At 39.0% G+C, this 16852-nt stretch overlaps 1 long non-coding RNA gene across 1 annotated transcript in view; it reads right to left on the minus strand.

The window, feature by feature from the left end:
* Positions 1 to 256: 256 nt before the first annotated feature.
* The window catches only part of LINC02386 (long intergenic non-protein coding RNA 2386), a 65929-nt gene continuing 49333 nt past the window's right edge, over positions 257 to 16852 (minus strand). The window contains exons 3-5 of the long non-coding RNA NR_183469.1: positions 13813 to 13883; positions 2254 to 2330; positions 257 to 543 (exon numbers count right to left, since the gene is read on the minus strand). This is a non-coding gene — a long non-coding RNA (long intergenic non-protein coding RNA 2386). The remainder of the gene's footprint in view (positions 544 to 2253; positions 2331 to 13812; positions 13884 to 16852) is intronic.

Genomic DNA, 16852 nt, shown 5'->3' on the forward strand with positions numbered 1-16852 from the left:
CATTCTACTGGGCCTTAGATATAAAGCCAAGAACGAGATAGATATGATTCCTGCCCTCAAAGTGCTTACAGTCTGATGAAGGAGGCAGATACCACACAGTGGTTAGAGTATAATTGGTTACAATTGTGATAATGCTACAAATGGCAAGTTCAGAATGCCATGAAAATATATAACAGGGAGACTTGCCTGATACAGGACAAACAGGTTTGTATGCCCACGGCACAATAACAGAATCATTACACTGAGACAGCAGGGATGCAGCAGAGAAAGTTTAATGACCACAGGGCGCTGAGTGAGGAGTTGGAAGGAGACCCTCAAATCCATCTTCCTGAGGAATTCTGGGCTAGGGTTTTTAAGAGGATCATGGAGGGCAAGGGACTGGAGAATTAGGATTGTTGATTGGTCAGGGCAAGGGGGGTGAACTCATCAGGATTTAGAAACTGCATTCTTTGATGAGTAGGCTTCTCATGGGGTCCCTCAGATCAGTTGAGTCAGTGGAGTCCTTTGGACCTGCTGATGTAGTAGTTTCATAGTATGCAGAACCTGAAGGAGTATCTCAAAGAAAAAACTTCTTAATGTTTCATAATGTTCAAGTTGTTCTCTACAGAGCAGTTAAGGGAAAGTGTAATCTTATAACATGGTCTACATGATTCTAGGACAACAGATAACAAACAACTATGAGGAAACAGGTCAGAGAGTGAGCTAACTTCATGATTAATGCTGAATGTGCTACAGGCTGGGTTTATGTTGGTTTCTCCCTCTCCCTGTTTCCTGATTAATTTTGATTAATTTTTTAAAGTTTATATGGGGAGTTTCAGGCCAATGACAATTAATGTTTCTTAAGCACTAACTGTGCACCTGCCAAGCCTCACAACAACCCTATGAGAAAGGGGCCATTACTATTTTCATTTTATACAAGAAGAAACTGAGGTCTAAAGAATAACCAGCCCAAAGTGAAACAGCTAATAAGGGATGAAGTTGGAATTTGGACCCAAGTTTGTATGACTCCAGAGACTATATCATTAACCTGTGTGCACCCCCACCTACAACAGAGGAACAAAGAACAAGTGCTAGGAGAACTCCTAGCACATCTGCTGCCAAGGCCTGGCTCCCCTTCGTACCATGAACCAGTTGTATTATGTGAAATTAAATAAAGGTGTTGGAACTTAAAGCTATTTTGAGCCTTGAGAGGAATGTGGCTATGTGGCCCAAGTCATGTAGCATGCAGCTGAAGCTTTGTTTTTTGACATAATAATGAGAACCGACTGAAAGATGTTGCCAGAGATAGGACCCCTCAAGATCATTATCCCTCCTGATAAAATGTTAAAGCAATCTTCCTTGGACTATAGCAAGTGCTAACCCATCAATTCACTGTAATGTATGTATTAACCTTATATGGCAAATGTTGTAACCCTGCTAAAGTTATCTGTCTCTGCCATATAAAATCTTAACTTCGGCTGGGCATGATGGCTCACATGTGTAATCGCAGCACTTTGGGAGGCCAAGGCGCATGGATCACTTGAGGTCAGGAGTTCAAGACCATCCTGGCCAGAATGGTGAAACCTCGTCTCTACTAATAATACAAAAATTAGCCAGGCATGGTGGCACATGTCTGTAATCCCAGCTACTTGGGAGACTGAAGGGGGAGGATTGCTTGAACCTGGGAGGCAGAGGTTGCAGTGAGCCAAGATTGCACCACTGCTCTCCAGCCTGGGCAGCAGAGTGAGACTCTGTCTCAAAAAAAAAAAAAAAGAAAAAGAAAAAAAAAAAACAGTTAACTTCTCCACTTTGGATCACTGACTCCATTCCTTAGGAGTCTGTGTTTTCCAGGTGGCTGTCCTCAAGCTTTGCCCTCAGATAAACTCTATACTTAATCATGTTTTCTAAATCTCATTATTTAGAGTTGACATTTGTTAGATCAAGGGTTCTTAATGTCTGAAGGATCATGGGCCCGGTGGCAGATACCCTGTGGCCGCAAACACTTAGATATTCCCCTAATAGAGAGGTGGGGTCTATGTTTCCATCCACTGAATTCAGACAGCCTCTGTGACTGCTTTGACCGACAGAACCTGACAGGAGTTTCATTGGATTAGTTTCTAGACCCATGCCTTAAGGAACTTGCAACTCCAGTCACTTAGAACACTCATTCTGAGGGAAGCCAACCACTGTGTAAGAAGTCCAACCACCCTGAGACTGCCATACTGCGAGGAAGCTCAAGCTAGCCACTTGGAGAGGCTATGTTGAGATAGATACCTGGCATCTTTAGCTGCTGTGGCCATCATAGTCCAGGTCCCAAGAATGGGTGGAAAAATCATCTTGGTCATTCCAACCTAACAGACTCAACAAGGAGAAAAGTTGAAGAAACAAGTCAACAGCCAAAATCAAGGCCCCAGGCATATGCAGCTATTTGAGCCACACAAGCTGAGATCCCAATCATCACTGGGCAGACACAAGTCATTCCCTCTGTGCCCTGCTTGAATTCCAGACTCAGTGTTGTGAGCCTAATTAAATGCTTGTTGTTTTATTCTACTAGATTTTGGATTACTTTGTTCCACAGCAGATCCTTTGAAAATTGGATGGGAGCAATGGATCCTCTTCTCAGAGCAATGCACACAGACACACATACACACATACACATACGTGTGTGCACACACACACAAGTTTATACCAAATCTTAGTGTTCACCACTCCCCTTAAATTAATCTGCTGATTCTAGACAAAGCATCTGGCCACCGAACAATTTTAGGCCTTTAGTTTTATAATTCAGGCCAAAGAAAAATAACAACAAAACAAATGCTAGATGCACGTCCACAAGTGAAGATAACTTTATTCCTATGTTAAATTCAGGCTGCAAGATTGGAATGGAATTTCCTTACCAGACTCCTCTCAAGAGAAAACATTTGTAATGGAAGCTTTTCTTTTTTTTACTTTAAAATTTTTTTATACATATAACCCATAACATAAAGTATAGAGAAACCATAATGAATGCCTGTTTCCACCACCCGGCTCTATCAAACCTTGACACTGTACCATATTCACCTCCTTAAAACAAATTATAGGCCAGGAGTGGTGGCTCACACCTGTAATCCCAGCACTTTGGGAGGCTGAGGTGGGCAGATCACCTAAGGTCAGGAGTTTGAGACCAGCCTGGCCAACATGGTGAAACCCCATCTCTACTTAAAAAAAAAAATTACAAAATAGCCAGACATGGTTATGCACACCTGTAATCCCAGCTACTCGAGTGACTGAGGCAGGAGAATCACTTGAATTCAGGAGATGGAGCTTGTAGTGAGCTGAGATTGCTCCACTGCACTCCAGCCTGGGCAACAGAGTGAGACTCCAACTCAAAAAAAAAAAAAAAAAAAAACACAAATTACAGGCACATTTGAATTCTTTTACCACTTTCTATTTCTCCTCCCTCCTTAGAAGTAACCATGATCCTGAATTTGGAGTTTATCATTCCTATCCTATGTATATTGTATACTTATTACTTTGAAAGTATAATACTATAAATAATAAATGATATTATTTGACTTATTTTCAAACTTTGAATAAATATTATCATTCCATTTATTATTGTGTAGCTTTCTTTCCTAGTCAACATTAGGTTTTTGAGATTTACCTATGTTGATATATGTAGCTAAAGTTCATTAAGCTTAAGTCCTGTGCAAGGTTTCATCTCCTGAATTTGTTCATCCATTCTCCTATGAGTCATTTTGGTTATTTCCACATTTTTGCTGTCACAAACTATGCTACATGAGTGTATAGTGTCTATGTGCATGGAGATGAGAATTTCTCTAAGGTGCATAGCTATAATTGGAGTTGCTGAGGTACCATGTGCAGAGAAACTGCTCTTCAGAATGGGTGTGGCAATTCATAGTCATACCAGCAATTAGGCCCCACTATTCTACATCCTCACCAAAATTCAATAGCATCAGATTGTTTAACTGTTGCTAGTCTGATGTGGATAAAGTTGATTCTCAGATGGGTTCAAGAAAGAAAATGTACTCATAGTTCAGTGTGTGGCTCGCCTGTAACCCGTAGTTACCAGGTCATAATAATTGAATACTAAATACTGATTTAACCAAAAATTGTAAGAGAACTCAAAGTATGGAAAGAGTAGCTGTGTGCATTTATGTGTGTGCATAGGGTAACAGTAGTTGTATGGTGATGGGGATAATACTCACTTAAAAAAGATTAAGTCTTATGCTTTTTAGTAGGAAGTTAATAATGTCTATAATTGAAAAATCAGGAAATTTTAATATAATCACATTATCTAGAAACACGGAGGCCAATATCTGAAGGAAAAAAAAGAGCTAAAATATAACAATGGTTGCTTCCTGGGATCAGGACCAGTGGTGGGGCAGGGTACGGCTATTCTTTTTTGGAATCCTTATGTTCTACTTAACTTTGTTTTCTCTCAATTCCATGTGTATTAGGAGCCAGTGAGGCCCTCCATCAGCATAGTCCATAGAAGCCTAGGAGCTCCTGGACCTCCTCACTGCCAGCCACCCTCACTGAGAAAATCAGAAGTAGCAGTTGCTGCACAAACACTTGAAACATCTTCCACTCCTTATTGCCATGGGGACCATGGTCACAGATTCCCGGGTCCCCATGAGTCGTGTGTGTGTGTGTGTGTGTGTGTGTGTGTGTGTGTGTCCTTGTCCCTGTGTGTTTTCAATGTCCAGCATCACCTAGTGCAGCCTGTGATGCCTGGAGAAGCGAGCTCAGCTTCTTATGACCTCCCTCTCTCTCCCTCTCTTCATCTCTCCTTCCTTTTTTTCTTCCTTCCCTCTATTTCTGCCTTATGTTAGAATAGACAAGAAAAGAGTAGCTAGGAACCAAGCTGAAACTCTGCTGGATGCCATCACTTGGAAGGAAGGTGATGAGCTGTGGGTCTGGGAAGCCTTAAGAAGAACAATCACGTTCCCCTTCCCTGGGGGAAGAGTCCTGTGCACAGAGAAGAGGCACCTTAGGTTTGCTGAGGAGGAGAGCGTTCTCCCCACCTTCTCCCTCCTTAATCTTTGCATTTGATATAAACACATAACAGGTACGGGAGGGAGCTCAGGGGACACTTTTATCTGAAATGTTTAGAAAGAGGCAAGAAAATGCTTTTAAAGCAAGAGATTTTCCAATGCCTTTATAATTTTGTTTTTGTCTTCTTTGACTCAGCTATGAAGCTTAACATAGATTTACCAACACAGGGGCTTTGTTCCTAATCACTTCCTCCTGCTCTTCATCTGCGTCTTTCTTTCATTCACTGACTCATTCATTCATCAGCAAATATCTATTGAACATCTACCATTTTCCAGCCACTGTTCCAGGCACCAGGGATCTCCTGGTGAATAAGAAAGACAAGGCCTTCACTCCTCGGTAGCTTCCCTTCCAATGAGGAAGACAGATGATGAACCATCAACAACTGAGTGAATGACGTGAGTGCTGTGAAGAGAGTGGGGGACAGCCTCCCTGTGCCAGGGATGTCTGAGCTGAGACCTGATTGATGGTGGGAGCCCTTGCTGCGAGGATCTGGCAGAGGGTTCCAGGTTTGAAGGTGATGAACAAGTGGAGAGAGACAGGGTGAGGGCAGAGAGCAGGCGGGATACAGATAATGAAGGGCAGTGTTGGCTGGGAAGCCAATATGGATCTTATTCTGAGTGCAATGGAAAGACACTGGAGTCTTCTGGTTTGTTAATTTGTTTTGTTTTATTGTGGTGTGGGAGTGATATGATCAGATTTGCTTTTTTAAAAGTTCAAGCTGGTGGCTGTGTGAAGAAAAGAGCCCTGTTAGGAGGCTGTACAGTGTTCTGTTGGAGGTGGATGGCTCTTGAGGCAAAGCAGTAACCACGGCAATGAAGGGACATGGGCAGTTTGGGGATATATTTTAGAGGTAGAGTCAACAGGACCTGCTGGTAGATGAGATGAAAGAGGAGAGAGGGAATCAAGAGTCTCTGGGTTTTTAGCTTGAACAAGCTCTTTGTTGAGAGAGAAAGATTAGAGAAGAATTGGCTTGGGATAGGGGGTTAGGGAAGGATAAAGACTCAGGAAGGTATGACATCCCAAGGGAGAGAGAAAAGAGATTTATGTGTTTCTGTGGAAGGGCAGTAAAGAGAAAAATGAGGAGTTAGGTGAGCCGTGGTGACTTTCGAAGGAAAGATATCAGTAGAAGGATGAGTCAGAAGTCACATTCTCAAGAAGATGGTGAACACCAGGAAGGAGGGGCAGAGTCAGTTTTCACTCACAGTGTGTCCCCAGTTCCAGTCACTGTGTGTGGCAAACAGCAGGTGCTCCTTAATCATTTGTGAAGTGAACAATGACAGAGCGGAAGGCAAAGAGGTATTGGAACTCAGTGAGGAACACTTTTAGTAAATTTGGGAGTGAAAGCATTAAGAGAAAAAGAATGCTAAATGGCAGACATGTCAGATTTTATTTTGTGTGTGTGTGTTAAATTTAATGGATATGAGAGACTTGAATATTTGTAGTCACAGAAGAGATAACTCTAGAGAGGAGAGCTGAAGAAGCTGGCCCAAGAAGGAATAATTGATGACAAAGGTTCTTAGACAGGAGGAAGGAGACTAACATCTGTTATCTATCTATTATGTACCAAGAAGTGGGCTAGGCTTTATAGTTGTTATCTCAACATCACAATAGCCCTTGAGGTGGAGACAAAACACAGGATACTCAATTAAATTTTAATTTTAGATAACAAAATATTTATTTTAACATTATGGCCTCATGTAGTAATTTTGGTGTAAGTATTCCCCATGCAGTATTTGGGACTTACTTATATTTTTAAAAATATTTAATGTTTATACAAAACTCAAATTTAATTGGATCCCCTATATTTTCATCTGGCAACTCCACTTTGGGGTAAATAATATAATTGCTGTTTTACCTGAAGGAAACTGAACATCTGAGATATTCAATAACATTGTCCTCATTCACGAAGTTAAAAGTGAGAACATCAAGATTGAAACCCAGTCTTTTTGACTTCTGAACCCCACTTTTCTCACTTGTGATGTCATGGGAGATTGCAGTCCAGAGTCTCTGGCAGGGACTAAGTTCAGTGAGAAGGCTCTTGTCCCAATTGTATGCGTGCCTGGTCTCCCTGTTAAACTCCCAGGGGTGAGGAACTTCTTGGGATCATTTTTGTGTCCATTAAAAGAGCCATTTACTACATGATTCTTGATGTACTTCGAGGTGGGACATTTTTGCTAACATATTAAGATGAATGACAAACTTTTGAAAGTCACTTTCTGTTTAAATCTCCAGCCACTGGGCTAATTTAATGAGGGAGGCTGGCCAGACAGCACACACCGCACTGCTGAAATCAACTAGATATTTACCAAATTAATGCTTGTGAATGAAGAGGACAGCTTTATTTCTTTTGAGAAGGAATCTATTTTTTTATATAAAAATGAACTCAATATTAAAATTATCTGTGTGAACTATGCTTGTCCCTTTGGCAGGACGTGGGTGAGGTAAGCTTACCCTAACTCCTAAGAGGCGGTATAGTCTATGATGCAAGAACTCTGACTCTGCAGCCAGAGGGGCAGAACCTTGAGTTTCCTGTTCTCAAAAATTGGGATGATGATGATAATAATAATAATATAATCCCTACAGAGTAGGTTGGAGGACTAAATGAGATTGCACATGTAATAAACCTTTAACAGGATGGTAGCTACCATCTTCATCAACATTAGTGGTGCATAGGGGTAAATAATGGTAATATGGTAATAATGGTAAATAATGGTGGATCCACATTTTACAAGTTGGGAAGAAGATTGCGTGAGGATTTTGTTACTGTTCAACTTTGAGAGCTGTTTGTAACAAGAACCTCATGTGACTTTTTATGGGGGCATTGATACCAGGCTGAAATAAATCTGGCTTAAATTCTGACCAGGTAAAATGTTCCTTACATATGTCACCAAACATAAGAAAAAAGTAGTTTCCTCTGAATACCATTTCTTTAGTTGCCCAGATTTATATGCCACTTAGTCATTTCTTTAAAGGAAAAAAGTCTACTACATGATGGAAACATTGGATTGAGGATATGCAGTTCTGTCCTGCAATCAGATAAAATTTAAGTTGATTTTGCCTTTCTCATGGCATTATTCCATGTTATATACTCTTACTCATCTAACCCAAAACATTGTTTATACCCGAAGCTTTTCTCTTTCATATTAGAAAGCTCAGTGAATTCTATATGAAATATTATCATATATATGGTCTCAACTGATTTCACTTTCATCAGATAGTGACCAAAATACGTACTAAGAAAAATTTTTGATCTAAGGAATTCATGGACATTTTCTCTCTTTTCTGTGGCAGCACCCCCTGCAGGGCCTCTCATGTTCAGACATTTATTCAATAAATATTTACTGAGCACTTTCTACATGCTGAGTACTACCTTAGGTGCTGGGGGACTCAGCAGACTACAAAATAAAGCCCTACGCTCATGGAACTTAGCTGGTGATCACGTTTTTGCTTACTTGTTCTACGTTTTGTGGATGAGACACAAGTTAGACTTTCACTCACTCCCTGGATCTTAGAAGTCTTTGTTCTAATTGCTTCTACACAGCCAAGTAAATCAAGAAGTTAAGGCAGGTTTGGGAGTAGAGAACAGTTTCATATTGCTCCCTGAATTAAAACCACAGAGTATTTAAAATTCAGGGAACTTAAGGAAGCATATCAATACTATGACCTTTGCTGCTAGAATGGATAGCTACTCTTTTTCAGGGTCGTTTTAATGTTTCATTTTCTCAGATCCTTGCACTGCACTGTAATCTTGCAAAGAATCACTGCAAAATCTTCCCAGGCTTATTTAAACTCCTAAGATGGACTTTTCTGGGTTTGTGTTGCACACACATAGAGCCATGAGTGGGCAACAGTTATGTCTATGTCAACAACAATGGATTGGGTTTGAGAGAAACTTGCTGAGCCTTTACACATCTTCCCTGTTGACTGGCCCTTAAGCCCTTCTGAGCCTCATTTAACTGCTGCCTTTGATGAAGTGATCAAATGAACTGAGTGTAGAAAAAATGGAACGATGAGTTACAAGAGGAGTTTGTGGGTTCATATTTGTTTAATAGACACCCACCCATCCATTCATCTCCACCATTTCAGTCATCTATTGCTAACCAACAAACCATCCCAGAACTTAGTGGTGTAAAGCAACAATCATTTTGTTATACTCATGGTTTCTGTGGGCAAAGAACTCAGAAAGGGCCCAAAGAAGAAAGTTCACTGGGGCACCACTGTGTGACTGAGCCTAGCTAGTGTGACTTGTACGGCCAGGACCAACCAGAGAAGCTGAGACTGTAGGATTCACTTCCAAGATGGCTTCTTCGCTCCCTCCCATGTTCAGCGGGCTAGGATGCTAAAGGACTGGCCCAGTTGGACTGCCAAGCAGAATGCCTATATGTGGCTCAAAGCTTCAAGAACAAATGCTCCCAGAGAACAAGGTGGATGCTGCAGCCTCAGAGGTCACACAGCCTCATCTCAGCTATACTGCACTGAAGCAGCCACAAGCTCACTGAGATTCCAGGTAAGGAGACAGAGACTCTGCCTCTCAAGGGAAGGTGCATCAAATAATTCACAGCTTTGTGAAAGCCTCCACAAACCATCATTTTAAATATCCTCATGTAAAGTAATCTCAAGAATGAATAGATGTCAAAGGACAGGTTGACCAATTATTTGCTACTTTTAACTCCATACTACACTTCATGAAAGTTGATGTAACTTAGTATTTTATTTTCAAGTTTACTTCCAACCTTTGTAAGAGCTCCTCTTCCTGTCTCCACACTTCCTTTAATTCTTTCTCATATGAATTTTCTTTGTCTAACGATGTGGTAGGCCACATATTTGTCATAGAATTCTTCCTCTTCTTGGGTGATAGAAATACTTTGGTCTTTTGTTGCACACCTCACTTTGGCTACAAGACCATTGCAACTTGATTCTTTGGAGCCAAGAAGGTGATGATGTCAGGAATTGAGGAATAGTAACTTTTAAGCAGCATTTAATATCAAACAGACTATGGTAATTATTGTAAAACCACTTATTATTAAAACAATGTTATGTCAGTTTACACCAATGATCCCATCATCTGAATACAATTCGGATTACTTTATGGCCATTTCTGATCTTTAATTCCATATGCATTTAAAGCTACATATCATTTATGTATGTTTAATATAGTAAATTGCATTTTTGTATGTATTTTTTAATATAGTAAAATGACAATGGCCTCTGCCAATGCTTAGTGTTCTTTGGTATTACTGGAATTCAGACATACTTAGTACATGTTAAGGTACTGAAAAATAAGGTGGCAATATTTTACTAGGAAGCATGGCCAAATGGCCTTATTTTGTGATAGGAGAGACAGAAATGATGGGACTCTTGTAAAACTTTTAAAAAACTGTTTTAGTCTGATGTTGCTAGTTTCTTTATGATCTGCATTCCTTGGGGGAGCTTCTTTAGAGAACAGGGTTTTGTCCTACAGACCTCTTCTGACTTTAATGTTAAAAAGTTAATTAATTTGTCCAAGATGGATCCTCAGTTTCCTTTTTTTGCGGATTCCTAGAAATACAAAGATTGCCAGAAATTTATTATTTACTGAATCTAAAAAGAAATACTGTTGGCTTTTTTGTTTTCAAATCATTATTAATATTTCCCAGCTATTAGGAATGTTGGGATCCCTTCTAAGCCAGACTCCAGCATATGTGGTAAATGAGAAATTATCTTGATGCATTTTCTAAACCTTTATTGAAAACTGCTTTGGTGTTGGAACTGAGCTCAACATTAAAATAGATTGTTATAATAAAATGCTTCTTGGCTTCTTTCAGAACTTTGCACTAAAAGCTTTTTCCAGATGAATCACATGCCGAGGAAGAAAATTCCTTTTAATTTATGAATGGCAGTGGGTGGAGTCCCTAGCTGCTGATGTCCTTGGAGTTTGTCTAGTGTGGATTGGAAACTGGCATTGGCAATATTCGGTCCTCTGTGTGAATTTCAGTTAGTGAATGAGTTTTTTTCTTTCTCAAAATAGAGCATCGGTTCTCAAAGTGTAGTCCATCGGAATCCTGGAGGTCTCCAAGATCCTTTCAATGGGTCCATAGGGTCAAAACTATTTTTATTGTAATATTAAGATGTTATTTTTTCACCGTGTTAACATTTGCAGTGGTTGTGCAGAAGCAATGGTGGGTAAAACTGCCTTTTGCCCAAATCAAGGCACTGGCACTCATTGTATTTCTTCAGAGTCAGGTACTTGAAGTCTTGATGAAGCAGTAATAAGTATTGATTTTATTGAAACTTCACTTTTTGAGTAAATTCCTTCTTAGAATTTTATGTAGTGAAGTGAGATGTGCACATAAACCACTTATGCTGCATACTAAAGCAAGATGGTTGTTGCAAACAAAAGCACTTGTTTGATGGCTTGGGTTGCAAACTACCTGCTTTCTTCAGCGAATACCCTTTTTACTTGAAAGAATGACTGGAAAACAAACTATGTTTGTTTTCGATATGGGGATTTCAGAGACTTCTCTTGAAAATGAATAAAGTTAGCCAGCACTTTAAGGAAAACAACTAATGGTATTTACTATCAGAGGTAAAAAAATGTGCTTTTGAGTTGTGATGGTTAATATAGGTGTCAATTTGACTGGATTGAGGGATGCCTAGATGAAGCATCATGATTGGGCATTTGAGAGTGTGTATGCAGAGGAGATTGGCATGTGAGTCAGTGCACTGAGAGGAAGACCTGTCATCAGTGCCGACTGGCACCTCCAAAGGGCTAGGAGCAGAAAAAGTAGGCAGAAAAAGTGGGATTCTCATGCTCTCTTTACTCTCTCTCTCCCTTCCAGAGGAGGACACTTTTTCTCCTTCTGCCTTTGGACATAAGACTTCAGGTTCTTTGGCTTTTGAACTCTGGGACTTACTCGAGCAGCCTCCTGGGGGCTCTAGGACCTGAGTAGGGGCTGCACTGTTTACTTTCCTGGTGCTGAGGCTCCTGGACTTGGACTAAACCATACTACTTACTAGCTTGAGCCATGCTACCAGCTTCTGTGCTTCTCCAGCTTGCAGATGGCCTATGAAGGGACTTTCCTTCTGTGATCCTGTGAGCAAATTCCCCCTAATAAATCCCCTTCCATGTATTCTACTGCTTATGTATCTCTGGAGAACCCTGACTGATACACAACTGAAAATGAGAATTTTGAAAAATCTGCACCCAAACCATGAACTTCCTAGTACTTAAAGTCTTTTCTGACAATATAAGTTAGATATTAATGAATACAATTTTTTGATGTCATATAGGGAAATGGCTCATCATTTGGAAGATCTCAATAAACTAAGTGAATCAATAACTTAGAGATAATCAATGCATGATGTAAGAAAATCAGGCTTTAGAAAAGGATCCAATGTTTTAATGTAAACAGACACCAAAAGCTTATTTGATAAGGTTTTAGAGCCCAAATTGCAACTAATCTTCAAGCAATGATCATCTATCCATTTTTGGTGTAACATCAAAGAAAAATATCCACAATTATCTGAAAGAGCAAGAAAATACCCCTCCCATTTCCAACTACATATCTGTGTGAGGCTGGATTTTCTTCGTGTATCTCAACCAAGACAACAAATTACAATAGAATGAATGCAGAACAGATATGAGAATCTGGTTGTCATCAATTAAGCCAGACATTAAAGAAATTTGCAGAACAATGCTCATTGCTCTCTATATTTTTGGTTTGGTCTTGGAAACCATAATTTTTAAAATATAGATATTTGTGTTAATATGTAATGGTTGTATTATTATTTTTAATGAATTAAATATTTTTAAATTTTCTATTAAATCTCTAGTATGGTAAACGTTGCTAGATATGACACAATTTAGAGGTTCTCAATAATTTTTGGGAGTATAAAGGAAACTGAGAGAAAAAGTTTTGGAACTTCTGCTGGTGGCTAATCTGCTTTTCAATTGGAGGCACTGGGGCATATTTTGAAACAGAAAACTAACAACAGATAGATACTTCCCCCCGGCATGCAAGTCAATTACTGTCATAAATGGTTCTTCAGATAAGATCCCAGGTCTTGAGCTCTTCCATCCACTTAGCAGTCACTGTATGGAATTCCCATGTGGTCAGAATTGAATTCTCAACTTCTGGCTCCTGTGGCAGTCTCTCAAACTTCTTTCATTTCCTCTGCAGAGTACAGCTAGGGCTCTTACGCCAAAGTGTGGAAGTTTACTTTGTAGTTCCTTTGCTTTGTACTTAATGCTGCTAATGTCCATGTTTAGGTTTCTTTTTCTGTTTTCTCTTTCTTCCTTTCTTTTCTTTCTTTCTCTTCTTTTCATTTTTCCTTCATGTCTTTATTTTTATTTTTCTCTTCTTTATAAAAAATGAGGCTCTCAGAGTGGTTGTAGAGTTATAATAGAAGAAATACCTTTATATTGTAAGCATAAGGTTAATATATTAATATTTCTTTCCTGAGAACATCACTCTACACCAGACAGTAAACCCTGTGATCCCAAGTAACTTAGTGAAGTCTCCAACTCTGACAATTATAAGACATATATTTTGAACATTGACTGGTACTATTCTTTGCAGAATGCATGAGGACCAAATCCACAAAATACACATGCTTGAAAATAAATCACTAACAATTTGGAAGCCCATGTCCAACAGAGTGAAAATGAGATTGCACAAGTATAATTTAAAAATTACTTTACAATCCAGTAGCAAATTCATGGTCATAATTAGTATCATGATCACTATTGTGATCATCATCATAGCTACCATGGATAAAAGGAAATTTTCAACTCACAGCCATTCATGCATGGAAGGCAGCAAAACTGAAAATCCTGTTGCATCCCAACTGGTTCTGACAAACTGAAGCTGAAAAAAAAAAAGCCATGAATTTTGAGTGACTTAAGATGCCATGCTGCTACTAATTCCATCCAAAAATTCTCCTGATTAATGAACATGGAAACTTGTTTTATCCAATCACATTCAGACTTACAAACTTGTCTCCTCCTTTTCAGGCCACTAGTATTCAATCTTTATTTAAGATAACACCATGAGCTCACACACACACACACACACATACACACACACACCCTCCTCTGTTTTCTAGCGCTTAATCAGCGTTTTGTCCCTCAGTGCAACTAGTCAATAAATGGCTTCATGGTGTGTTTTCCTTTCCCCGACAGGTTAATAAACTTGGATTGGGTCTCCTTTAATTTCAGTTTTCTTTGTTTTATTCTTTGATAGCTGCTCACTAAGGGCAGGACTTGTTCTTAGTATTTTACATATAGTTTGAAATTTTAATTCTCACAAAAGCCTCTGATGTAGTCAGGTCACATGGTGGTGAAAATCACGAATTCAAACCAGAGTGTTTGAGTTCTGATCTTGCTCCCCTACCTGCAACTGCATGATCTTCTGCAAATGTTTTCACATCTCTGTGCCTATATTTATGTGTAAAATGGCAACAATAATGGAACCAAATTCTTGGCTTCTTGAACACAGCAAGGAAGACAACACATAAAGACAATTAGAATGGGCTGGGTGTGGTGGCTCACGCCTGTAATCCCAGCACTTCGGGAGGCTGAGGCGGGTGGATCACAAGGTCAGGAGATTGAGACCATCCTGGCTAACATGGTGAAACCCCGTCTCTATTAAAAACACAAAAAAATTAGCCAGGCTTGGTGGCTGTAATCCCAGCCACTCGGGAGGCTGAGTCAGGAGAATCGCGTGAACCCGGGAGGCAGACGTTGCAGTGAGCCAAGATCGCACCACTGCACTCCAGCCTAGGTGACACAGTGAGACTCCGTCTTAAAGAAAATAAAAATGAAAAAATTATTACAGTGGTGCCTAGCACATAGTAAAGCATTCAGTACTAACTATTATGAACTCCATTTACAGATGAAAAATCTGAGACTTCCAGCAATTGAGGAATTTGTTTAAGGTCATAGCTAGTAAATGGTAGATCTTGGGTTTCTTCCAAGATTTATTTTATGGCAAAGCCTGTGCTAAAAAAAAATTTTGTTTATAACCACTTTCTACAATGTTTCCTTTTGCTTTGTTGTATTATTTTTTAAGTGGTGTAGTCTTGCCTTCTCTTGTTTATGTTATTTCAGTCCTTTTTAATAATCTAGATGACAATATAATTCCTGTATTAACACATCATTCTTCACCAAAGGGTTCAATTATTTAAGTGACAAATACCACCCTCCTTACACATTGTTTGTGCCTTGAAGAAATTTTTTTCTAATGAACATTCTTATTTTTCTGAAACTAAAATTTCACCTCTTTCAAAATATTCCTTTTGATGTATGTAGTTTCTACTAATAAGCATCTATTATTAATAAATAAGCAGTTATGTTGAAAACCAAAAAATGAACATCACTATAATTGCTGATGTTAAGGTAGATGAACTTTGTAATCAGTTAGGAAGATATGTTTCTTGTGATAAAACTTTACAAATTTTTAGGATTTTTTTTACATCTACACAAACCATGGTCATTATTTTTGAAAATTTATTATTATTATTATTTGAGACAGAGTCTTCCTCTGTCACCCAGGCTGGTATGCAGTGGTGCAATCATAGCTCACTGTACCCTCGATCATCTGGGCTCATGTTATCCTCTCACCTCAGCCTCCAATGTAACTGGCACTACAGGAGTACACAAACATGCCCTGCTAATTTTTTTATTTTTTGTAGAGATGGGGTTTCACTATGTTGCCCAGGCTGGTCTTGAACTCCTAGCCTTGAGAGATTCTCCCACCTCAGCCTCCCAAAGTGCTGGGATTACAGGCGTCAGCCACCATGCCTGACCTATCATTATTTAAACATAAGTTTAAAAATATCAATTTTGAAATCATGCTAAGAAGCAATTTCCATGAGGAGACTGACATTAGAGATTCCTTCTTAAAGATCTAATCTCCGAATGCACTGGCGAAGTGTTTAAAGGGAATATAAGTACGGATTTTTAAGGAATGGAAGCAACTATTATATCAACGACACATACACAATACATATACCACACATACACACATACCTCCTGTCTTAGTCAGATTAAGGAAAGAATTAATGTGTATATCTTCTATTAAGAGCTACATGTACACTTTTTACCCAATGAACAACTAATATATTTCAATTATTGATTAGTAAATTGTTTGGTTTCTGACTGTTATGTCAGTATCACAGATTTTTATTTTTATACTTTGCGTTTTACTTTCATAAGAAATTTTTCTTCATGACTGCTTATAAAAGGAATTATGAGCTATATGGCAATTACAATGGAGAAAACATTTTCATTGAAAAAAGTTGTTTACTTAACTGGACAACAGTAATTTTGGGTTTTAGTAAAGTTAATGAGATATTAGGTATTTTACACAATTAAAATTGTTTCTGTCCAATGATATTTCATAAATCGTGTGATTTATAGCTCTAGATCACAGGCAAACACACTGGGAAACTGAGGCTTTATTTAAACAAAAGATACAGGTGGGATCAAGCTTGATGGCTAAAATAATAGAATGTCTTGAAATTTAAACATATACCAATGTTCCTCGTTTCTCTTTTTATAAATCTGAACATTGTCAAGCCATGGATTTGTTTTGCTCTTTTGTTGAAAGCTAGGACATAGAGAATATAGTCCCAAGTTGTGCTAGAGGCAAAGAAAGAGAGGAAACACAGGGTGGAGAAAAGAGCTGTGCCATGAGGTCAGGAAACCCGGGTTCCACTCAGTTCCACCCTGATCCTGACTTGCTATGTGACTTTAGGCGAGTTATTTTACATTACTTGATCTCCATTTTTTTGCCTATAAAATGCGAGTGGATCAATGTCATTGAATACTTTTGAA

Source organism: Homo sapiens, chromosome 12, assembly GCF_000001405.40.
Source record: "Homo sapiens chromosome 12, GRCh38.p14 Primary Assembly".
Classification (NCBI taxonomy): domain Eukaryota; kingdom Metazoa; phylum Chordata; class Mammalia; order Primates; family Hominidae; genus Homo; species Homo sapiens.